This window comes from Homo sapiens, chromosome 22 (genome assembly GCF_000001405.40).
Source record: "Homo sapiens chromosome 22, GRCh38.p14 Primary Assembly".
NCBI lineage: Eukaryota > Metazoa > Chordata > Mammalia > Primates > Hominidae > Homo > Homo sapiens.
The window spans coordinates 31,540,570-31,565,949 of record NC_000022.11 but is presented as its reverse complement, the minus strand read 5'-3'; the positions used below and the strand labels follow the sequence as shown (position 1 = coordinate 31,565,949).

At 44.7% G+C, this 25,380-nt stretch overlaps 1 protein-coding gene and 1 pseudogene across 5 annotated transcripts in view, besides 1 other annotated feature; both read right to left on the bottom strand.

Moving 5' to 3' along the window:
• The window catches only part of SFI1 (SFI1 centrin binding protein), a 122,450-nt gene that overhangs the window by 52,639 nt on the left and 44,431 nt on the right, over positions 1 to 25,380 (bottom strand). For all 5 annotated transcript variants that reach the window (NM_001258325.1, NM_001007467.3, NM_014775.4 and 2 more), the window contains 4 exons: positions 18,979 to 19,089; positions 15,602 to 15,696; positions 8,891 to 9,008; positions 4,558 to 4,660 (listed from right to left, as the gene is read on the bottom strand). In NM_001258325.1, coding sequence (NP_001245254.1) covers positions 4,558 to 4,660; positions 8,891 to 9,008; positions 15,602 to 15,696; positions 18,979 to 19,089 — 427 coding nt within the window. The remainder of the gene's footprint in view (positions 1 to 4,557; positions 4,661 to 8,890; positions 9,009 to 15,601; positions 15,697 to 18,978; positions 19,090 to 25,380) is intronic.
• RPS18P14 (ribosomal protein S18 pseudogene 14) lies at positions 5,970 to 6,508 on the bottom strand (annotated as a pseudogene).
• Positions 18,495 to 18,554: an enhancer, noted in NCBI's record as "active region_18862". NCBI's record gives its function as "activates an Ori minimal core promoter by ATAC-STARR-seq in GM12878 lymphoblastoid cells {active_cell/tissue: GM12878}" and the evidence as "EXISTENCE:reporter gene assay evidence [ECO:0000049][PMID:35858748]".

Sequence of the window (25,380 nt, the reverse complement as noted above, 5' to 3'; positions counted from 1 at the left end):
GGCCTGTAATCCCAGCACTTTAAGAAGCCAAGGTGTAAGAACTGCTTGAGGCCGTGAGTTCAAGAACAGCCTGGGCAACAGAGAAAGACCCTGTCTCTATTTTAAAAAAGGAAGAAAGAAATCACATGGCTAAACCTCAAAAATATACCGTTGCACTAAAAAAACAAGTTGCAAAGCACAGTATGACAACATTCATAAATGTCCTAACTACACAAAGCCATACCATTTACTTATTTATTTATTTATTTTTGAGACAGGGTCTTGCTCTGTTGCCCAAGCTGGAGTGCAGTGGCATGATCAATGGCTCACTGCAGCCTTGACCTCCCAGGTTCAAGTGATCCTCCAACCTAAGCCTCCCAAGTAGCTGGGACAACAGGCATGCGCCACCACGTCTAGCTAATTTTTTTTTTTTTTTTGTAGAGATGGGGTCTCACTATGTTGCCTAGTCTGGTCTTGAACTCCTAAACTCAAGTGATCCTCTTATTTTGGCCTCCCAAAGTCCTAGTATTCAGGTGTAGGCCACCGTGACCCCTCCCGCCTTTTTAAGTGATGGGGTCTCATTATATTGCCCAGGCTAGCCTCAAACACTTGACCTCAAGTGATCATCCTGCCACAGCCTCCCGAGTAGATGGGACTACAGGAGTGTACCACATGTTTATTCTTTACAGATATGTGCACATATTTTTATAAGAAAAAAGAATATAGGAGAACAATCATACCAGAATCAAAAGAGTGGCTATCTCTAAGGAGGAGAGGCAGTAGAAGGGACGGAGGGAGGGTAAAGCTTTGGCAGTGTCCATTAAATTTTGTTACTTTAAAAAATTCTGGGCCGGGCACGGTGGCTCACGCCTGTAATCCCAGCACTTTGGGAAGCCAAGGCAGGCGGATCACGAGGTCAGGAGATCGAGACCATCCTGGCTAACATGGTGAAACCCCATCTCCACTAAAAAATACAAAAAAAAAAAAAAATTAGCCAGGCGTTGTGGCGGGCGCCTGTAGTCCCAGCTACTTGGGAGGCTGAGGCAGGAGAATGACGTGAACCCGGGAGGCGGAGCTTGCAGTGAGCCAACATCGCGATACTGCACTCCAGCCTGGGCGACAGAGCAAGACTCCGTCTCAAAAAAAAAAAAAAAAATTCTGGGCCAGGCATGGTGGCTCATGCCTGTAATCCCAGCACTTTGGGAGGCCGAGGCGGGTGGATCACTTGAGCTCAGGAGTTTCAGACCAGCCTGGGCAACATGGTGAGACCTCGACTCCACAAGGGAAAAAAAAAAAATATTAGCCAGGCATGGTAGCACATGCCTGTGTTCTCAGCTACTTGGGAGGCTGAGGTGGGAGGATCACTTAAGCCTGGGAGGTCAAGACTACAGTGAGCCATGATGGTACCACTGCACTCCAGACTGGGCAGCAGAGTAAGATCCTGTCCCCCAAAAAATAACTTAAAAAAAATTCTGGAGCAAGTATAGAAAATGCTAACACCTTTTAAATCTGGGTGAGGGTGTTGAGTACTTGGCTATCTGCTAATTTTTTTTTTTTTGCAAGTATAGAAAATGCTAACACCTTTTAAATCTGGGTGAGGCTGGTGAGTACTTGGCTAGCTGCTAATTTTTTTTTTTTTTTTTTGAGATGGAGTCTTGCTCTGTCGCCCAGGCTGGAGTGCAGTGGCGTGATCTCAGCTCACTGCAAGCTCTGCCTCCCAGGTTCATGTCATTCTCCTGCCTCAGCCTCCTGAGTAGCTGGGACTACAGGCACCCACCACCACGCCCGGCTAATTTTTTGTATTTTTAGTAGAGACGGGGTTTCACCGTGTTAGCCAGGATGGTCTCCATCTCCTGACCTCATGATCCGCCCACCTCAGCCTCCCAAAGTGCTGGGATTACAGGTGTGAGCCACCGCGCCTGGCCTATCTGCTAATATTTTTCTAAGTGTTTTATATTTTATGTGTTTCTATGTTTGAAATACCAAATTTAATTTTAAATTTTAAATTAAAATTAAAATTTTACATATTTCATGATGTCTTACCTGCCTAGTGCATAGAGATGCTGTGTAGATTAAGACGTGTAGGCTGGGTGTGGTGGCTCACCCCTGTAATCCCAGCACTTTGGGAGGCCGAGGGGCAGGTGGATCACTTGCGGTCAGGAGTTCGAGACCAGCCTGGCCAACATGGCAAAACCCCGTCTCTATCAAAAATACAAAATTAGACAGGCATGGTGGCGCGTGCCTGTAATCCCAGCTACTTGGGAGGCTGAGGCAGGAGAATCGCTTGAACCCGGGAGGCAGGGGTTGCAGTGAGCCAAGATCGTGCCACTGCACTCCAGCCTGGGCAAAAGAGTGAGACTGTCTCAAAACAAAAAAACAAACAACAACAAACAAGAAAAGGGGAATTCTAAACATGTTCTGAGCAACAGTAGCATCAGTAGAATGAGTTTATGGCCTCTCAAAGTGGCTCTTAGAAAGGGAAGAAAACTAGCACAGTTGTCCACCGATGACAGAAAATCAGTCTCATTATGTTTAGTTTCCCTATATTCACAGTCAGTCTATAAGTTTAGTCAGTATCCCTGCATTTATAGCATTTTCCCATTTATCAGTTCCATCTCCCTCCTGAGGTTACAAGTCTATTCAGCACAATACTGCATGGTGATTATGATAATGATGCAGGCCAGGCGCGGTGGTTCACGCCTGTAATCCCAGCACTTTGGGAGGCTGAGGCAGGCAGATTGCCTGAGCTCAGGAGTTAGCAACCACCCTGGGCAACACGGTGAAACCCCATCACTACTAAAATACAAAAAATTAGCCAGGCGTGGCGGCATGCGTCTGAGTCCCAGCTACTTGGGAGGCTGAGGCAGGAGAATTGCTTGAACCTGGGAGGCAGAGGTTGCAGTGAGGCAAGATCGCGCCACTGCACTCCAGTCTGGGTGACAGAGCGAGCAATACTCTGTCTCAAAACATATATATATATATATATAAAAGATGATGATGCAGCTTTCTGGCTGCTTAGGTTAAAACCTGGCTCCAAGCGGCCGGATGTGGTGGCTCACGCCTGTAATACCAGTACTTTGGGAGGCCGATGCAGGCCATCACAAGGTCAGGAGATCAAGACCATCCTGGCTAACATGGTGAAACCCCGTCTCTACTAAAGATACAAAAAATTAGCCGGGCGTGGTGGCGGGCACCTGCAGTCCCAGCTACTCAGGAGGCTGAGGCAGGATGATGGCGTGAACCCAGGAGGCAGAGCTTGCAGTGAGCCAAGACTGTGCCACTCCACTCCAGCCTGGGTGACAGAGCGAGACTCTGTCTCAAAAAATCAAAAAAAAATAAAAAAACCTGGCTCTAAGCTTCACTATACATGTGACCCTAGTTCAAGTTATTTAACCTTCCTGGTTCCCTTAACAATAATATGGGACTTTTAAAAAAGGTTTATGAAAATTAGATAATGCACGTAAAGCACTTAGTCTAGCACCTAACACAAGTAAGACCACAATAAAATCTACTTCTTTTTTTTTTTTTTTTTTGAGACAGGGCCCCAACTCAGTCACTCAGGCTGCAGTTGCTACTGCTATTGGTACTGTTATTATTATTGGCGAGAACTGTGTCTCTTATTTCCTTGCTATTGCCTCAGAAGACCTTACAAGTTCAGAGGTCAGCAAACTTTTTCTTAAAGGGTCAGAAAACAAATAGTTTAGTCTTTGTAGACCATAAGGTCTCTGTTACAACTACCCTACACTGCTCTTGTAATCTGAAAGCAGCCTCAGATGATATATAAATGAATGAGTGTAGCAGCATCCCAATAAAACTTTATTTACAAAAACAGAAAGCAGGCCAAATTTGGCCTGTGAGCCAGTTTGCTGATCACTGATCTAGATGACTATATATGCTATTTGCATGTGATCTGCACGTATTCACATGGACTATGCAATTTGTTGTTAGAATAAGAAGATACTATTCCTACATTTGGAAACAGGCACTAATTTTTTTTTTCCTCTTCTCTGTTCTATTTCCTATAACTTATTTGGCAGCTCTGTAAGTACCCAGCAGACACAAAAACATGACAAGAATTCAGAGAATATGTCAAAGGATAAGAAAGTTTTAGTACAGGCCTTAGCCATTTATGATTGACAAAAAAAGCTAGTGGCTTGCCTAAAAGAACACTCTAAGACAATCAAAACTATAAAGAAAAGGAAGACAGGTTTTCTTTTCAGTCTTAAGTTTCTTTTCTGCCCCAATTATTTTCTGATTTGCTGTAGGAAAACAGCAACGAGGAAATCAGAGTATACTGCTGTTTCTCTAAACATGTTTATAACTAATTCATAAATCCCTCTCCAGCTCCACAATTACCAGAAGCACTCTGGAAGCCACTGATCTAGGCTCATCTAGGACAAGCCTCTACTTTATTCCTAACAGCAGCCTCCCTCTGGAAGAGCCCAGCCTTCCAGATTACCTCTGTCCCCACCCCCTCTCAGGCCCTGAGCTGCAGGGAAGGCCCAGCACTGCCCTCTGTGGGTGAGAGGCTTGACAACACTGACAGAGGATGCCAAATCCCACGTCTGCTGGACTCACCTGCACCTGGAGGCTCAGGGCCCTGTGCTTCAAAGCAGAGGCATGGAGGGCACGGCTCACACGGACCTGTCCTAGTCGCTGCCTCCACGTGCTCCACCACACCCTGTGAAACAGCAAATCAAAGATGGAATCCATCAGTAAAAAGCCACTCAGGAAAGAGAGGAGCAGTTAGTGTGGGGCCTCAGACCCTCAGCTCTAGTCCTCTCCTTCATAGTACCATCTCTAGATTCACTGCTGGGGAAAAAAATAAAACAAAACAATTGAGAAAAAGTCCCAGATCTGCCCATTAATGGTTGGAAACTTATGGTTCCTACGGTCAGATCCTGCTTTAGACACCACAGACATGCTCTGTTTGACCTACACAGTTTGATTTGTTAAAAGATATGTTATGGCCTGGTACGGTGGCTTACACCTGTAATCACAGCACTTTGGGAGGCCGAGGAGAGTGGATTACCTGAGGTCAGGAGTTAAAAGACTAGCCTGGCCAACACAGTGAAACCCTGTCTCTATTAAAAATACAAAAATAGCCAGGTGGTAGTGGCATGCTCCTGTAATCCCAGCTACTCGGGAGGCTGAGGCAGGAGAATAGCTTGAACCCAGGAAGCAGAGGTTGCAGTGAGCTGAGATCACGCCACTGCACTCTAGCCTGGGTGACAGAGTGAGACTCCATCTCGGGAAAAAAAAAAAAAAGGCCAGGCGTGGTGGCTCACGCCTGTAATCCTAGCACTTTGGGAGGCTGAGGCAGGTGGATTACTTGAGGTCAGGAGTTCAAAACCAGCTTGGCCATCATGGTGAAACCCCGTCTCTACTAAAAATACAAAAAATTAGCTGGACATGGTGGTGTGTGCCTGTAATCCCTGCTACTTGGGAGGCTGAGGCAGGAGAATCTCTTGAACCCAGGAGGCAGAGGTGGCTGTGAGCCAAGATCGTGCCACTATACTCCAGCCTGGGTGACAGAGTGAGACTCCACCTCAAAAAAAAAAAAAAAAAAAGAGTATTACCAACATTTGAAAATCAGGAGATTTCACAAAATAATCTGCAATCAAGTGGCTTTTAGATTTCTAGTCTTGTATGTATCCTTTTCTTTCCTAGAATCCTGGTCAGACTTTTGTTTCAGTCTTGTTTTTTTTTTCCTACTAATTTTCGAATTTGCTCTAGGAAAAGAGTCATGGGGAAATAAGAGTTTACAACCTGTGCTTTACAGAAACACTCACTTTTCCTGGTCACTCTAACCTACAAAGATTTCTCTTAGACCAGGCTCACTTGCAGCACTCACTGCAAAACCTCAAGCTATCTCACATTATCACTTATCTTCTTATGCATCCAGGGAATCACAAATTCCCTGAATACAGCCCCAGCATCAATACAGTACCAATAACATTTTACTTATTTATTACTTTATTTATATTTTTTAGGTATATAAACTACTTATTAACAGACAAGGCCTGCAGACTTATTTCTTCTTGGACCCGCCCATGGTACAGCCATGGTGGCCAGTGGTCTTGGTGTGCTGGCCTCGGACACGAAGGCCCCAGAAGTGGTGCGGTCCTCTATGGGCCTGAATCTTCTTCAGTCGCTCCACATCTGCACGGAGCTTCTTGTCCAGACCACTGGCTAGGACCTGGCTATATTTTCCATCCTTTACATCCTTCCGTCTGTTCAAGAACCAGTCTGGGATCTTGTACTGGCATGGATTCTGCATAATGGTCATCACACGTTCCATCTCATCCTCAGTGAGTTCTCCTGCCCACTTGGTGAGGTCAACGTCAGCTTTCCTCAACACTATGAGTGTACTGTCAACCCACATCCTTAATGGCAGTGATGGCAAAGCCTATTTTCTGCTGCCCGTTGATGTTGCTGTTGAGTATTCGCAAAATACGCTGGAACTTTTCAGGGATCACTAGAGACATAGCAGGAACACAACTGGCGGTGTGTAGGCCTCCCGCGGAAGCCATTTTTTTTATTTTTTCGAGACAGAGTCTCACTCTGTTGCCCAGGGTGCAGTGGAGTGGCACAATCTCGACTCACTGCAACGTCTGCCTTGTTTGTTCAAGCGGTTCTCATGCCTCAGCCTCCCGAGTAGCTGGGATTATAGGCGTGCACCATCAAACCAGGCTAACTTTTGTATTTTTTTAGTAGAGACAGTTTCACTATGTTGGCCAGGCTGGTCTTAAACTCCTGGCCTCAGGTAATTCACCAGCCTCAGCCTCCCAAAGTGCTGGGATTACAGGCATGAGTCCCTGTGCCTGGCCCAGTACCAAGAACATTTTAAACCCTCAATAAATAGGCTGGGCCCGGTGGCTCATGCCTATAATCTCAGCACTTTGGGAAGCCGAGGCGGGTGGATCATCTGAGGTCAGGAGTTCAAGACCAGCCTGGCCAATGTGGTGAAACCCCATCTCTACTAAAAATACAAAAAATTAGCTAGGTATGGTGTAATCCCAGTTACTTGGGAGGCTGAGGCAGGAGAATCACTTGAACCCAGGAAGCAGAGCTTGCAGTCAGCCAAGATTGTGCCATGGCACTCCAGCCTGGACGAAACAGTGAGACTCTGTCTCAAATAAATAAATAAATGTACGTTGAGTAAATGAATTAATTATATAAAAATATCACTCAGGCCAGGCGCGGTGGCTCATGCCTGGAATCCCAGCACTTGGAGAGGCTGAGGCCGGTGAATCATGAGGTCAGGAGTTCGAGACAAGGCTGGCCAACATGGTGAAACCCTGCCTCTAGTAAAAATACAAAAAATTAGCTGGGCATGGTGGCAGGCGCCTGTAATCCCAGCTACTCGAGAGGCCAAGGCAGAAGAATCGCTTGAACCTGGAAGGCTTGAACCCAGAAGGTTGCAGTGAGCCAAGATCACACCACTGCACTCCAGCCTGGGGAACAGTGTGAGACTCCATCTCATAAAAAAAAAAAAAAAATTCACTCAGACTCAAGTAAAACTGCATACTAATTAGGCATTTTGAAATACTTGCTAAATACATTTTAAGTAATGATTTTAATTATTTAAAAAAATTTTTTGTGTGTAGAGATAGGGTCTTGGCTTTGTTGCCCAGGCTGGTCTCAAACTCCCGGCCTCAAGCAAGCCTCCCATCTTAGCCTCCCAAAGTGTTGGGATTACAGGTTTGAACTACTGCACTCTGCCTATTTTATTTCTACTTAAATAACTTCTTTATGTCCACTGATTTTCTGGACACTGTTAAATACTTTACAGATATTACTTTATTTATTCCTGATGACAAACCTTTAAGTATGGTGTAACTATTTCACAGATGAGGAAAATAAGAGCTGAAGAGATGAAATGACCCAATAATACAGGTTGGAAGAGGGATTCAAACCCAAGTAAGTGCAGCTGCAAAGCCTCTCCTATTATCCATACTTTGTTCAATACCCAACTTTCAGGCAGGAAGTGAATTATTAATATATTACCATTCAGGACACCAGTGGACAACTACAGACAACATAGAGTGAAATCTGTCCCATGATAATGCAGCTCATTGTTACATATCTGGCTATAAAAGTGGACTAATTCATGTTCTTCCAGTATGTCTACAATGCTGATGGGCTGCAATGCAGAAGACCAGTTAAGAGCATGGGTGGGTGAGCCCTAGTTTTGCCAATTACAACCTGTATGTGCTAGGCAAGTTACTCAACCTCTCTGAGCCTTATTGTACATCTTAATCTGTACAATAATGGTACTTACAGTTTACGGTAAGGGTTAAATAAGATACTTTACATTACAAAATTAACACATGCACACACAAACTTAACACAGGGTTTAGAACACAGTAAGCACTCAATTCATGTTAATTATGATTATGTGAAAATCGATCTTATAAACAAGTTATCAGTAAATCTTTATTAGGCATCAACTATGTTCAAAATATTGTTTCAAGGTGGGAAGGGGGCATGGTGGCTCATGCCTATAATCCCAGCACTTTGGGAGGCTGAGGTGGGCAGATCGCTTGAGCCCACGAACTCAAGACCAGCCTGGGAAACATGATAAAACCTCGCCTCTACAAAAAAATGAAAAAAAAAAAAACATTAGCTGGGCATAGTGGCGCATGCCTGTAGTCCTAGCTACTTGGGAGGCTGAGGTGGAAGGACTGCTTGAACCTGGGAGGTGGAAGTTGCAGTAAGCTGAGATTGGGCCACTACACTCCAACCTGGGTGACAGAGTAAGACCCTATCTCGAAAAAAACAAAACACAAAAATAAAACCAAATACAAACCATTGTTTTAAGGTGAGGTTTTATGCTGTTTTCCAGCACCATAAAGCTGATGAGGTAAAATGATGGCTGGTACTTTGTAGGGCAGTTGAGCAGACTCACCGTAAGATAATCCGTTGCCTAAACTCCAGAGCTGTAGTCTGCATCTGAAGTTTGGTCCTACGAACAACCACGTAGATCAACCAGGACTTCCAGGCCTGTCGCATCTTTTGCTTTGCATCTAGATTCACCAAAGAGATTTTTCAAAAGGCATGGGGAGAGATGGATTACTCTGGGTTATGATAAAAGCTCAAGGGCTCTCCTTTGAATACCTAAATCCCTCCAGCCTACAAGTGACCCCTGCTGGAAAAGTTGTGAAGCACTAGAAAATTAATTAGAGTGCAAGAACACATGAAGGCTCTGTGCAAGTAACGACATTTACAAAGCATTTAAAGGAAAACCCATGTACTGAACTGCTCAAAAACCCTTTGCTTTAAAAGCGCTTATTTCTATAGATATACTCTGCAATTTTTAGACGAAATGATATGAATAAACAGGCAGCAAAGAAGTGGAGAGATGGATCTAACAAAAATGGCATGAGTGATAATCAAAGCTGGGTAATGGATACATGGAGGTTCATTATTCTATTAAATATCTTTCAGTCTGGGCACAGTGGCTCACGCCTGTAATCCCAGCACTTTGGAAGGCCGAGATGGGCAGATCACCTGAGGTCAGGAGTTCGAGACCAACCTGACCAACGTGGTGAAACCCCATCTCTACTAAAAGTACAAAAATTAGCCAGGTGTGGTGGCGTGCGCCTGTAGTCCCAGCTACTCAGGAGGCTGAGGCAGGAGAATTGCTAAACCTGGGAGGGAGAGGTTGCAGTGAGCTGAGATCACGCCATTGCACTCTAGCCTGGGCGACAGAGCAAGACTCCGTCTCAAAAAAAAAAAAAAGAAAAGAAAAAAAAATTTCAATTGTATAGATATTTAAAGTTTTCCATAATACAAAGCTAAAGAAGAAGAAATCATGATATAAAACTTGCTGTTTGACTCCAAGCTCACTCTTTTTAGTAAAGAAAAGATAATTTACTAGATATGGAAGATGCAATGGCCCACAGGTCTCCCTTTGTGGTAAATTGTATTTTCATTATGAAAGTCACCACTAATAAGTAAATTACCACTTATAAGCAAATTTCTCTTCTTTTTAGAAGACAAAGGAGAAAATAAAATTATATAAATCATTTTTAGGACAGCCTCCAAGATGTAGTCGACAGGACTATAACTATATATTTCACAGTTGTTGACAAGACAAATCAACATACGAAGGAGAATTTAACATGTATCTTCCTTGGTTTCACTGTGGACCTCAGGAATCAGCATACTTCAGGTAATCAGGACTAGTATAGTGCTGTGGTTTAGAGTTTGGGATCCTGAGTAAGACAAGCCAGACTTACTGGCCCTTTCATTTATTACACACCTAATCTCATACAAGTTCCTCATCTGTAAAATGGTGCCTCTCTCAGAGTTATGTTTGGAAAGTGTAAATGAGATGATTTAACTATGAAAAATATCTAAAATAAACACTAACTGCTCTTTCCAGAGTATGGAACACAGGAATCTCATTAACTGTCTCTGCCATGATTCTGATGCACGTGACAACTGAGAACCATGCTTCCTTAAGGCCTAAAAGTACTTGCAAACTTTTCATTTAACAGTCCAAGAGTGAATGGACACTCCCTGAGGTCTAGGGGAATGGCCTGAAATAACTTGTCTTATGTCAGAAATAACTCTTGCCTCTTGAGTAGCTGGGACTGCAGGCATGCACCACCACACCTGGCTAATTTTTGTATTTTTTTGTAGAGATGAGGTTTTGCCATGTTGCTTGGGCTGGTCTCGAACTCCTGGGCCCAAGCAATCTTCCCACCTCAGCCTCCCAAAGTGCTGGGATTATAGGCGTGAGCCACCGCCTATAAAAAAGTCATCCAAGTGACTTTTTCCTTCTATTCCATAATATCTAGCTAGATTCACTGTAACTATAAATAAGACAGCAGAATGTACATTCTTCAAGTAAATATAGAACATTTACAAGATAGAGCATATTTGGGGCCACAGAACAAACCTTAACAAAAATAAAGGAACTGAAATCATACTAAGTCTTGTTCTCTGACAATAATAGAATAAACTAGAAATCCTTAACAGAAAGATATTGGGAAACTCCCAAATATTAGAAAACTAAACACACTTCTAAATAATCTGTGGGGCAAAGATGAGGTCTCAGGGAAAATCAGAAAACAAGTTTTTACTGAATGAAAACAGAAATATAACTTATTAAAATTCGTGTAATATAGTTAGTGTTTAAGAGAACTTTATAGCAGTAAATGTCTCTACTAAAAATACAAAAAAAAAATTAGCCGGGCGTGGTGGCAGGTACCTTTACTCCCAGCTACTCAGTAGTCTGAGGCAAGATAATTGCTTGAACCCAGGAGGCAGAGGCTGCAGTGAGCCGAGATCACGCCACTCTGCACTCCATCCTGGGTGACAAAGTGAGGCTCCATCTGAAAAAAAAAAAAAAAGGCTGGGCGCAGTGGCTCAAGCCTGTAATCCCAGCACTTTGGGAGGCCGAGGTGGGCGGATCACGAGGTCAGGAGATCAAGACCATCCTGGCTAACACTGTGAAATCCCGTCTCTATTAAAAATACAAAAAATTAGCCGGGCGGGGTGGTGGGCACCTGTAGTCCCAGCTAATTGGGAGGCTGAGGTAGGAGAATGGCGTGAATCCGGGAGGTGGAGCTTGCGGTGAGCCGAGATCGTGCCACTGCACTCCAGCCTGGGCAATAGAGCGAGACTCCATCTCAAAATTTAAAAAAAAGAAAAAAGAAAAAGAAATAATAAATTAACTTAGCAAGGATGCAGGATATACAAGATCCATATGTAAAACTACAGAATGTTTAGGAGAAAACATAAGAGGAAATCTTTGTGACCCTGGGTTAAGGCAAAGTTCTTAGAGATGACATCTAAGATAGGATATGAAAAAATATAATCCAGCTGGGCACAGTGGCTCATGACTGTAATCCCAGGGCTTTGGGAAGCCGAAGTGGGAGAACTGCTTGAGGCCAGGAGTTTCAGACCAGCCTGGGCAACAAAGCAAGACCCCCATCTCTGTAAAATATAAAAAACTTAGCCAGGTATGGTGGGGCATTGTCTGTAGTCCCAGCTACTTGGGAGGCTGAGGTCAGAGCCTAGGAGTTCCAGGCTGCAATGGGTTATCCTCACACCACTGCACTCCAACCTGGGCAACAGTGGGACTCTCGCAAAAAAAAAAAAAAAAAAAAAAAAAAAAAACATAATCCATTAAAAAAAAATAGAATGGACTTCATCAAAATTAAAAACTTTTCCTCTGCAAAAGATACTGTTAAGAGAATGAAAAGACAAGTCACAGACTAGGAGAAAACATAGCAAATCATGCTTTGACAAAATGCTTATAACAGAATACATATTTTAAAAAACCAGCTGGGCTTGGTGGCTCACCCCTGTGGTCCCAGCACTTTGGGAGGCCGAGGCAGGTGGATCCCCTGAGGTCAGGAGTTCCAGATCACCCTGGCTAACATGGTGAAACCCTGTCTCTACTGAAAAAAAAAAAAAAAAAAAAAATACAAAAATTAGCTGGGCATGGTAGCGCACCATGTAGTCCCAGCTACTCGGGAGGCTAAGGTGGGAGAATCACTTAAACCCGGGAGGTCGAGGTTGCAGTGAGCCGAGATTGCGCCACTGCACTCCAGCCTGGGCAAGAGTGAGATTCCGTGTCAAAAAAAACCAAACCAACCAAACAAACAAAAAACTTTCAAATCTCAAAAAGAACACAAACAACCCAATTTAAAAGGACAAAAGATCATGAACAGATACTTCACCAAACAGATATAAATAGCAAATAAGCACAGGAAAAGATACTCAACATCACTAATTATCAGAGAAATGCAAACTAAAACCACAATGAGATATCATCTTACACTAGTCAGAACGACTGTTATTAAAAAGTTAGGCTGGGTGCAGTGGCTTATGCTTGTAATCCTAGCACTTTTGGAGGCTGAGGAAGGAGAATCACTGGAGCCCAGGGGTCCAAGACCAGCTTGGGCAACATAGCCAGACCCTGTCTCCATAACATATAAAAAGTTAGCCAGGTGTGGTAGCACATGCCTACGGTCCCAGCTACTCAGGAGTCTGAGGTGGGAGGATTACTTGGCCCAGGAAGTCAAGGCTGCAGTGAGCTATGACCAAGCCACTGCACTCCAGCCTGGGTGACACAGCAAGACATCCCCTGTCTTTAAAAAAAAAAAGTTTAATAACAGATGTTGGCATGCACGTGGAGAAAGGGAACACTTAACACACTGGTGGTGGGAATATAAATTAGTTGAACCTCTATGGAAAACAGTATGGAGATTTCTCAAAGAACTAAAAACAGAACCACCATTCGACCCAGCAATCCCACTAGCGGGAATCTACCCAAACGAAGAGAAATTATTATATTAAAAAGACACCTGCTCTCATATGTTCACTGCAGCACTATTCTCAACAGCAAAGTCATGGAATCAACCTCAGCATCCATCAACAGATACAGAAAATATACACCACAGCCGGGCGTGGTGGCTCATGCCTGCAATCTCAGTACTTTGGGAGGCCGAGGCAGGCAGATCACTGAGGTCAGGAGTTTGAGACCAGCCTGGCCAATATAGTGAAACCTTGTCTCTACTAAAAATACAAAAATTAGTTGGGCATGGTGGCACACGCCTGTAGTCCCAGGTACTTGAGAGGCTGAGGCAGAAGCAACACTTGAACCCAGGAGGTGGAGGCTGCAGTGAGCCGAGATCACACCACTGCACTCCAGCCTGGGTGACAGAGTGAGACAGTCTCAAATAAAAAAAAAAGAAAGAAAATACACACCATGGAATACCACCCAGCCATAAAAAAGAATGAAATCATGTCCTTTGCACCAACATGGATGGAGCTGGAGGCCATTATCCTAAGTGAACTAACTCAGAAACAGAAAATCAAATACCACATATTCTCACTTATAAGCGGGAGCTAAACTGTTGGTACACACAGACATAAAGGTGGAGATAATAGACACTGGGGACTCCAAACGAGGGGAAGGGAGGGTGGAAGAGGCCCAAGGGTTGAAAAATTACCTATCATGTACAACGTTCACTATTTGGGTAGTGGACAGTCAAATCTCCATCATTATGCAGTATACTCATGTAACACCAATTTTTAAAAACCCACAATTAAATGCCTGTATACACCTATTAGTATGGCCAAAGAAAAAATTTTAATGACAATACAAAGAGGTCAAGAGGATGCAGAGCAAGTAGAACTCTCGTGAATTACTGGTGGGAATGCAAAATGGCACAGCCATGATAAAAAACCTTGCCAGTTTCTTATAGAATTAAACTTAAGGCCAGGCACAGTGGCTCACACCTGTATTGCCAGCACTTTGGGAGAGCGAGGCAGGTGGATTGCTTTAGTCCAGGAGTTTGAAACCAGCCTGGGCAACATGGCAAAAGCCCATCTCTACCAAAAATACAAAAATTTAGCTGTATGTGGTAGTGTGTATCAAAGTCTTAGAACTGAACTTCAAAAAGAATGAATCTTACTGTATGTATTAAAAAAATAAACAACAAACAGCGTAAGTTACTTACCAGTGAAACAGTGCATTTGGTGCAGTAATCATGAGGCTTGGGTAAGAGCTTCTCATACTTTGGGAATACAGACAGGGGAAAGATCACTGGGCTGGGGGAGATCAAGGAAAGCTACACATTTAAATGGGCCTGAAGGAAGAACTACAGGGACAAAGATGGAAAGATAAAGAAGTGCACATCCAGTGTGTCAAGGGCAGAGGGTGCAAAGCAGAAGAAATGAAGACCTTGTACGACATACCAAGCAGGGTTAACTTTACGTAAAGGAGTGTCATGATCTTATCTATGTCTTACCACTCTTGCAGCTATGTGTACAATGAGAAGCACGAAAAAATAAATGAGGGAGATTAATGAAGTGGCACTTACAACACTCTGGGAAAAAGATGAGGATTACTCTCAGGCAGTAGCAATGCAACGATGATTGCAAGTGATGCCTCAGAGGGCCTTCTTAAAAGATTAGGTAAGTGATGACATGAGGCATGAGGAATGGACACCATTCCTAAGTAAGTCTTCCTAGACAGAAGAGTCAAAGGAACAGCAGGTGTAAGTGGTAGGGGAGTTGACAGGTTGTACTTGTGACTTGCAGAGTTTGAGCTACCTTTAGGACATTCTGCTGCTAATGCAGCCTGTATTATCATTTTGAAACTCTAGGTCTTTTTCCCTTAGACTCTCCATGTGTTTCTGGGCTCAATTCACAAGAGAAACCAGACTCTGACCAGACCTAAAGTGGCCACAGTATCACTAAGGGACAACTTGAGCAAAGCAGATCAGAAAAGAGCACTGCAGCTCTGCTCCAGAGTCTCTGGGCAACTTGACGCAGCAAGATAGATGGCAGCCCCAGGTGCCACAGGAGAGTCACAGCCAGCCCACTGAACCAGCAGGCCAGGAACAGCCAGTTCACACAAATTCTGATTAAATGAGTTTTAAGGGCTCAAACCATGCCATATGGAGAAAACCATAGGGATCAATCATACAGGTGCCCACTCAGAGATCACACTTTCTGAAAAATATGAAAGAGAATCAAACAAATCTTCCTTTGGCCTAGAGTTCCTCTCTCTCTGAGACAATGTGTTTGTCCTTCCTATGACCTTCTGCAAAGTAAATGTGGGCATCTTCTTCAGACATGGACTTCTTTTTCTCACCATGAACCTCGGCTCTAATGTACTTGTTCCTCATCTCCTGCTGCTGACGCACATAGGTCTTCCACGTCTGGAACATCAGGTTGTACAGGTAATACCTGAGGAGCCAAAAAAAGTAAATGGCATTTCTTCAAAATAACAGGCCGGGCGCGGTGGCTCACACCTGTAACCCTAGCACTTTGGGAGGCCAAGGCAAGGAGTTCAAGACCAGCCTGGCCGATATGGTGAAACCCCATCTCAACTAAAAATACCGTGTGCCGGGTGTGGTGGCACACGTCTATAATCCCACCTACTCCGGAGGCTGAGGCAGGAGAATCACTTGAACCCAGGAGGTGGAGGTTGCAGTGAGCCGAGATCGCATGCCACTGCACTCCAGCCTGGACAACAGAGCAAGACTCTGTCTCAAGAAACAAACAAACAAACAAACAACAACAACAAAACAACTCCTAACCCAACACACCAAGTCTGTTCTATACTCAGAAGAAATGAACAGGGACGCTTCTGATTAAAAAAAAAAAAAAGCCATATCTGCACCAAAGCTAAAATTTCATTTCCTACAATCACAATGAACTCTATTCTCTTTGAAGAAGAGTCATTCTCTATACCTTAAAGTGTCACTGAGGAAGAAAAGGCTTGACTTCTCCAAGAATAAGTTCACTTTCATCATCCACAAATTCATGATGTTTGGGCCAGGCACAGTAGCTCACGCCTGTAATCTCAGCACTCTGGGAGGCTGAGGCAGGCAGACCACCTGAGGTTGGGAGTTCGAGACCAGCCTGGTCAATATGGTGAAACCCCGTCTTTACTAAAAATATAAAAATTAGCCACTCGTAGTAGCATGTGCCTGTAGTCTCAGCTACTCAGGAGGCTGAGGCAGGAGGGAGGCTGAGGCAGGAGAATGGCTTGAACCTGGGAGGCAGTGGTTGCAGTGAGCCAAGATTGTTCCACTGCACTCCAGCCCGGGTGACACCGAGACTCTGTCTCAAATTCAATTAAAAAAAAAAAAATCCATGATGTTTGGAATGACAATCTTGTCTTTTTTTTTTTTTTTTTTTTTTTTTTTACACAGGGTCTCACTCTGTCACCTAGGCTGGAGTACAGTAATGTGAACATGGCTCACTGTAGCCTTGAGCCCTCCCTGGGCTCAGGTACTCCTCCCACCTTGGCCTCAGAGTAGCTGGGACTACAGGAACGCACCACCACTCCTGGCTAATTTTTGTATTTTTTTGTAGAGGGGGATTTTGCCATGTTCCCTAGGCTGGTCTCGAACTCCTGGGCTCAAGTGATCCTCTTGCCCTGGCCTCCCAAAGTGCTAGGATTACAGGTGTGAGCTACCATGCCTGGCCGACAGTCACATCCTAATTATCTTAACTATCCACACTGTAAAAAACATCACTTCTCGTTTGCACTACAATATGCTCATTGACACCTTTTCCTTCTTCTTGATACATACACTATACATCTTAAGACCTTCATCTCTTCATATTTTCCTAGTTTTAAATATTTTATTAACATTCATTTAAAAAAGAATTTTTTTTTTTTTGAGACAGAGTCTCACTCTGTCGTCCAGACTGGAGTGCAGTGGCATGATCTTGGCCCACTGCAACCTCCGACTCCTGGGTTCAAGCAATTCTTCTGCCTCAGCCTCCCGAGTGGCTGGGACTACAGGCACATGCCACCATGCCCAGCTAATTTTTTTTTTTTTTTTGGAGACGGAGTCTTGCTTTGTTGCCCAGGCTGGAGTACAGTGGTGCGATCTCGACTCACTGCAGTCTCCGCCTCCTGGGTTCAATTAATTTTCCTGTCTCAACCTTCCGAGTAGCTGGTACTACAGGCGCATGCCGCCATGCCCGGCTAATTTTTTTTTTTTTGTATTTTAGTTGAGATGGGGTTTCTCTGTGTTGTACAGGCTGGAATTTTTGTTTTGTTTTGTTTTGTTTTTTAATAGAGACAAGGTTTCACCAATGTTGGCCAGGCTGGTCTGGAACTCCTAACGTCAAGTGATCCACCCGCCTCAGCCTCCCAAAGTACTGGGATTATAGGAGTGAGCCACCACACTCGGCCTTCCCCATATATTTTCTCCCATAATCAATGTAAATTAAAACAATTTATTTATTTACTTATTTTCTGAGATGGAGTCTCGCTCCACTGTTGCCCAGGCTGGAGTGCAGTGGCGCAGTCTTGGCTCACTGCAAGCTCCACCTCCTGGGTTCACGCCATTCTCCTGCCTCAGCCTCCCGAGTAGCTGGAACTACAGGCGCCTGCCACCACGCCTAGCCAATTTTGTTTTTTGTATTTTTTAGTAGAGACGGGGTTTCACCATGTTAGCCAGGATGGTCTCGATCTCCTGACCTCGTGATCCGCCCATCTCGGCCTCCCAAAGTGCTGGGATTACAGGCATGAGCCACCATGCCCGGCCACAATTTATTATTTTTAAAACAAGGCCGGGTGTGGTGGTTCATGCCTGTAATCCCAGCACTTTGGGAGGCCAAGGTGGCAGGATCACCTGAGGTCAGGAGATTGAGACCAGACTGACCAACATGGAGAAACCTCATCATTACACGCCATTACAGGCGTGGTGGCACATGCCTGTAATCCCAGCTACTAGGGAGGCTCAGGCAGGAGAATCACTTGAACCCAGGCGGCGGAGGTTGCAGTGAGTCAAGATGGCGCCATTGCACTCCAGCCTGGGCAACAAGAGCGAAATTCCATCTCAAAAACAAAAAAAAACAAAAAAAACAGGCCTGGCGCGGTGACTCATGCCTGTAATCCCAGCACTTCGGGAGGCCAAGGCAGGCGGATCACCTGAAGTCAGGAGTTCAAGACCAGCCCAGCCAACATGAAATAACCCTGTCTCTACTAAAACTACAAAAATTAGCCAGGCGTGATGGCACATGCCTGTAATCCCAATTACTTGGGAGACTGAGGCAGTAGAATCGCTTGAACCTAGGAGACGGAAGTTGCAGTGAGCCAAGATCGTGCCACTGCACTCCAGCTTGGGCAACAGAGTGAGACTCTGTCTCAAAACAAAACAAAACAAACAAACAAACAAAAAACCCAGAATACTTTCAGAATGAGAAATTATATAGAAATGAAAATCGGTGGGAAAATCCCATTCAAAGTATTAGCATAACCAATACATAATGGTTACCTGAATTAGAGGTGTGGGAGGTGTGTGTGTGTGTCTGTGTGCACGTGCCCAGCATGTGCATGCATGCTTGGGTTTAATTTGGAACTCTGATCTTGCTAACTCCAAAAAGGATTTGAAGAAAAACCAAAAGTGACCCAAAGTTTGCTTCTTTTGACCATAAACACGCCAACAAATAATCATCTGATAATGTGCATCAGTAAAACTGAAGGAGTGTAACATGAAACCTGACCTGTAGTGACAGTCAGCTCGAACACAGAGTTTCCACTCGTGCTGGAAAACCCACCACTCCTCTTTCCATTCTTCGAAGACCTTCCGTAGTAATCGCTGCTCATAGTAAAATCTACGGCAAAAAAAAAATCATATATATATATGATGATGTTGGAGCTAACATCTCTTCCCAAATCACATATTCTTGCCGTCTCATGAAAAAGTACAGCCGGGCGTGGTGGCTCACACCTGTAATCCCAGCACTTTGGGAGGCTGAGGCGGGTGGATCACAAGGTCAGGAGATCGAGACCATCCTGGCTAACATGGTGAAACCCCGTCTCTACTAAAAAAAAAAAAAAAAAAAAGTAAACATCGGTCGGGCGCAGTGCCTCACACCTGTAATCCCAGTACTTTGGGAGGCCAAGGCGGGTGGATCACAAGGTCAAGAGATCCTGGCCAACATGGTGAAACCGCATCTCTACTAAAAATGCAAAAATTACCTGGGCATGGTGGCACGCACCTGTAGTCCCAGCTACTCAGGAGGCTGAGGCAGGAGAATTGCTTGAACCCGGGAGGCAGAGGTTGCAGTGAGCTGAGACTGCACCACTGCACTCCAGCCTGATGACAGAGCAAGACTCCCTCTCAAAGAAAAAAAAGAAAAAGTAAACACCAAGATAGATTAAAAATAGAGGCCAGGCATGGTGGCTCATGCCTGTAATACCAACACTTTCAGAGGTCAAGGTAGGAGGACTGCATGAGGCCAGGAGTTCAAGACCAACCTGGGCAACATAGCAAGACTCCATCTAGGGCTGGATGTGGTGGCTTATGCCTGTAATGCCAGCACCTTGGGAGGCTGAGGTAGTTGGACTGCTGGAGTTCAGGACCAGGTTGGGTGACATGGTGGAACCCAATCTCTACAAAAAATAAAAAATTAGCCAGGCATAGCGGGGGCATGCTCTTGTAGTCCCAGCTACCTGGGAGGCTGAGGTGGGAGGATCGCTTGAGCCCAGGAGGGAGAGGTTCCAGTGAACTGAGATTGCACCACTGTACTCCAGCCTGGGCGAAAGAGTAAGAGCCTGTCTCAAATACATTAAAAAAAAAAAAAAAAAAAAAAAAGCTGGACACGGTGGCTCACACCTGCAATCCCAGCACTTTGGGAGGCCGAGGCAGGTGGATCACAAGGTCAGGAGTTCGAGACCAGCCTGGCCAGCATAGTAAAACCCGATCTCTACTAAAAATACAAAAATTAGCCAGGCATGGTGGTGCACGCCAGTAGTCCCAGCTACTTGGGAGGCTGAGACAGGAGAATCGCTTGAACCAGGGGGCAGAGGTTGTGGTGAGCCGAGATCGAGCCACTGCACTCCAACATGGGCAACAAAGTGAGACTTCGTCTCAAAATAAAATAAAATTAAATTAAATTAAATTAAATTAAATTAAATTAAATTAAAAACTCCATCTCTACCCAAAAAATAAGAAAAAAAAATGTGTGACAATGTCTTACTGTATTACCCAAGCTGTTCTCAAACCCTTGGGCTCAAGTAATCCTCACCTGAGCCTCCCAAAATGCTGGGATTACAGACATGAGCCACTGTACCCAGCTCTACAAATTTTTTTTTTCTTTTTTTTTTGAGACGGAGTTTTGCTCTTGTTGCCCAGGTTGGAGAGCAATGGTGTGATCTCGGTTCATCGCAACCTCTGCCTCCCGGCTTCAAGCGATTTCCCTGACTCAGCCTCCTGAGTAGCGGGATTACAGGCATGTGCCATCACGCCCAGCTAATTTTGTAATTTTAGTAGAGATGGGGTTTCTCCATGTTGGTCAGGCTGGTCTCAAACTCCTGACCTCAGGTGATCTGCCTGCCTCGGCCTCCCAAAATGCTGGGATTATATGCCTGAATCACCACATCCAGCCCCCCCTAAATTTTTTTAGTTAGCCAAGTATGGAGGCACGCACCTGTGGTGTCAGCTATTCCAGAGGCTTACGTGGGAGGATCGCTTGAGCCCCAGAGGTCAAGGCTGTAGTGAGCCGTGAATGTGTCACTGCACTCTGGTCTGTGCAACAGAGCAAGACCTTGTCTCTTAAACAATCAAAAAAACTTAAAAAGAGGGAAAATAGATATATTTGGCTTTTTCAGGTCAGAATCTCAGAGCTACTTAAACTAGAAATGAGGTTAAAAATTTTTTAATATTGATTTTACCGATTAAAGATGTTAAAGTAAAATAAAAATCTGACTTTTTTTTGGAGACAGGGTCTCGCTCTGTTGCCCAGGCTGGAATGCAGTGGTACAGTCATGGCTCACTGCAGCCTTAACATCCCAGGCTCAAGTGATCCTTCCACCTCAGCCTCCCAAATAGCTGTGACTACAGACATGCTCCACTACTATGCCTGGCTAATTTTTTATTTTTTGTAGAGGCACGGTTTCACTATGTTACCCTAGCTAGTCTTGAACTCCTGAGCTCAGGTGATCCTCCTCCCTTGGTCTCCCAAAATCTGACTTTTCAAACACCATGAAGTGAATTGAAAATTATTATTTTTAATTTTTTTCATTCACCAGAATGAAAAATATTTTTATTACTAAAAAGTAGTAATGTCTTATTTACAAACATAGGAAATTAAACTTATAAAATAAGTAAATGCCTAATAATATTCCTAGTACTTAACAGGAACACAGGATATTAATTTAGCTGAAATCTGAAGAGGGGAGTCATAACAACAGCAAAAGATGAGTAAGAGAAATTAGTCAGGAAAAAGGTAATAAGGAACACAGAAAAGCAGTGACAGATGGTGCTGATTTTTTAAAAATTTTTTTGAGACAGTCTTGCTATATCACCCAAGCTGGAGTGCAGTGGCATGATCTCTGCTCACTGTAATCTCCACCTCATGCATTCAAGTTATTCTCGTGCCTCAGTCTCTTGAGTAGCTGTGACTCCAGGCACACGCCACCCAAACGAGCTAATTTTTTGTATTTCAGTAGAGACGGGTTTTCGCCATGTTGCCCATGCTGGTCTTGCACTCCTGAGCTCAGACAATCTGCTGACCTTGGCCTCCCAAAGTGCTGGGATTACAAGCATGAGCCACCACACTGGCCTGTCAATCACTTTAAATTTCTTTTCATGGTTCTGCAGGTTACTAACATGTCACTCCTCCTAACCCACTCATAGTTTTTTTTCTTTTTTTTTTTTTTTTGAGATGGAGTCTCGCTTTGTCGCCCAGGCTGGAGTGCAGTGGCGCGATCTTGGCTCACTGCAAGCTCCGCCTCCTAGGTTCAAAGGATTCTCCTGCCTCAGCCTCCAGAGTAGCTGGGACTACAGGCGTGTGCCACCATGCCCAGCTAATTTTTGTACTTTTAGTAAAGATGGGGTTTTGCCACGATGGCCAGGCTGGTCTCGAACTCCTGAGCTCGGGTGGTCCACTGGCCTCAGCCTCCCAAAGTGCTGGGATTATAGGCATGAGCCACCATGCTCAATTCCACTCACGGTTTTTAAAAACTAGCTTACAAAGACATACATAAGGTAATTCACCTCACTATTGCTTATAATAATAATAAGAGAAGAGTGAACCACCACAAATACCCATCAAAAGAGGACAGGTTAATACAATTAATCAATGCCATGTGCTCATTTTCTATGAATGAAGCAGAGCTAAGGGTACTGAAGGGACAGATGCCTCAGAAAGTGATTAGGTGAAAAAATAAAGTCACTGCGTGGTATGTATAATATGGTATCTTTTTAAAAAAATTAGGTCACGCCTGTAATCCCAGCACTTTGGGAGGCCAAGGCGGGTGGATCATGAGGTCAGGAGATCGAGACCATCCTGGCTAACACGGTGAAACCCCATCTCTATTAAAAATGCAAAAAATTAGCCAGGTGTGGTGGCGGGCACCTGTAGTCCCAACTACTCAGGAGGCTGAGGCAGGAGAATGGCGTGAACCTGGGAGGCGGAGCTTGCAGTGAGCCGAGATGCGCCACTGCACTCCAGCCTGGGAGACAGAGTGAGACTCCGTCTCAAAAAAAAAAAAAAGAAAAAAAAAATTAAGTCAGGCACAGTGGCTCACACGTGTAATCCCAGCACTTTGGGAGGCCAAGGTGGGCAGATCCCTTGAGCTCAGGAGTTTGAGACCAGCCTGGCCAACGTGGCGAAACCCCATCTCTACCAAAAATACAAAAATTAGCTGGGCGTTGTGGTGCATGCCTGTAGTCCCAGCTACTTGGGAGGCTGAGGCACAAGAATTGCTTGAACCCAGGAGGTGGAGGTTGGAGTGAGCTGAGATCAGGCCACTGCACTCCAGCCTGGATGATATAGTGAGACTCTGTCTCAAAGAATGAATAAATAAATAAATAAATAATAGTATTTATATATATATTTTTGAGACAGAGTTTCCCTCTTGTCGTCCAGTCTAGAGTGCAATGGCACGATCTCAGTTCACTGCAACCTCCGCCTCCCGGGTTCAAGCGGTTCTCCTTCCTAAGCCTCCCATGTAGCTGGGATTACAGACATACACCACCATGCCCAGCTAATTTTTGTATTTTTAGTAGAGATGGGGTTTCACCATGTTGGCCAGGCTGGGCTTGAACTCCTGACCTCAGGTGATCCGCCTGCCGTGGCCTCCCAAAGTGCTGGGATTACAGGTATGTGCCACCATGCCCGGCCTATTTTTATGTATTTATAGCACCCATATGTTGGAATACATCAAATATACACACACACACACATTTGTGTACATATAAACAAGCATGTGTGTATGCATACATAAATGATTACATCATACACATTAAAAGCCTGAAAAGACTCCAGAATATCAAACTAATGCCAGTGGTTCTCTCTCGGGGGGTGGGGGAGAGATTATAGGAGACTGGCTCCTAAACTGTACATTTCTTTTTTTTTTTTTTTTTTTAAAGACGGGGTCTCACTCTGTCACCCAGGCTGGAGTGCAGTGGTGTGATCTCGGCTCACTGCAAGCTCCGCCTCCCAGGTTCACGCCAGTCTCCTTCCTCAGCCTCCGGAGTAGCTGGGACTACAGGTACCCACCACCATGCCCAGCTAATTTTTGTATTTTTAGTAGAGACGGGGTTTCACCATGTTAGCCAGGATGGTCTTGATCTCCTGACCTCGTGATCCGCCCACCTCGGCCTCCCAAAGTGCTGGGATTACAGGCGTGAGCCACTATGCCCAGCCTAAACTGTACATTTCTATAATATTTGAAAGACTGTTGAACAGATTTATTCACAATTCTTTTTTTTTTTTTTTTTTTTGAGATGGAGTCTTGTTCTGTTACCTAGGCTGGAGTGCAGTGGCACCACCTCGGCTCACTGCAACCTCTGCCTCCTGAGTTCAAGCAATTCTCCTGCCTCAGCCTCCTGAGTAACTGGAATTACAGGCACACCTGGCTAATTTTTGTATTTTTAGTACAAACGGGGTTTCACTATGTTGGCCAGGCTGGTCTTGAACTCTTGACCTTGTGATCCACTTCCACGGCCTCCCAAAGTGCTGGGATTACAGGCGCAAGCAACCACGCCTGGCCTACAATTCTAAAAAATTGTAATAAAAAGGAACCGTTTGCACATGGTGAAATGAACATAACCATTTACCTCCTTCCATTCCCCACGCCGCATTAAATAACAGCAAATGTATTCAAAAAGGTGTAAGCCTAAAAAGACCAAGAGAATAGGAGAAAGGGTGACAGACAAGAGCCGTCAACAAATTTTAGTCAATTTTAGGCAAGAGAGTGGCAGATGAATCACCAGATAAAGGAGAGAACTAAGTGTCTTCTTGTAGGGGGAGAAGGGAGACAAGAAGCACCCAGCTGGTGGCACAGGCCCCAGAAAGGGGTGGAAATGAGACGCATCAGGAGGCGAGGAGCTGTGGACTGAGATGAAAACACAGGACTGTTTGCAAGCCTATGTGTCAGAAGTGGTTAGGCCCCTGGATCCCATTATTCACTCATATTCACTCAAGCAAAGACTCAGGTATATCTCCGGAGAGGCGAGCCAGAGGAGAACTGGACTCCAGAATACTAGGCAAAGCTTGGGAGATGGTCCTAGACCAAAAGTCTACAAACTGAACAATGACACCCACCATCCCTTTCCCTGCTTGCAGCCAAGCTTATAATTAACACCTTCAGCTGGATGCAGTGTCATGTCTATAATCCCAGCACTTTGGGAGGCCAAGGTGGGTGGATCACTTGAGGGCAGTCCGAGACCGGCCTGGCCAACATGGCGAGACCCCCATCTCTACTAAAAATACAAAAATTAGCCAGGCGTGGTGGCGCATGCCTATGGTCTCAGCTACTTGGGAGGCTGAAGCAGGCAACTCGCATGAACCTGAGAGGTGGCGGTTGCAGTGAGCCGAGATCATGCCATTGCACTCCAGCCTGGGTAACAGAGTAAAACTCTGTTTAAAAAAAAAAAAAAAATGTAGGCTGGGCGC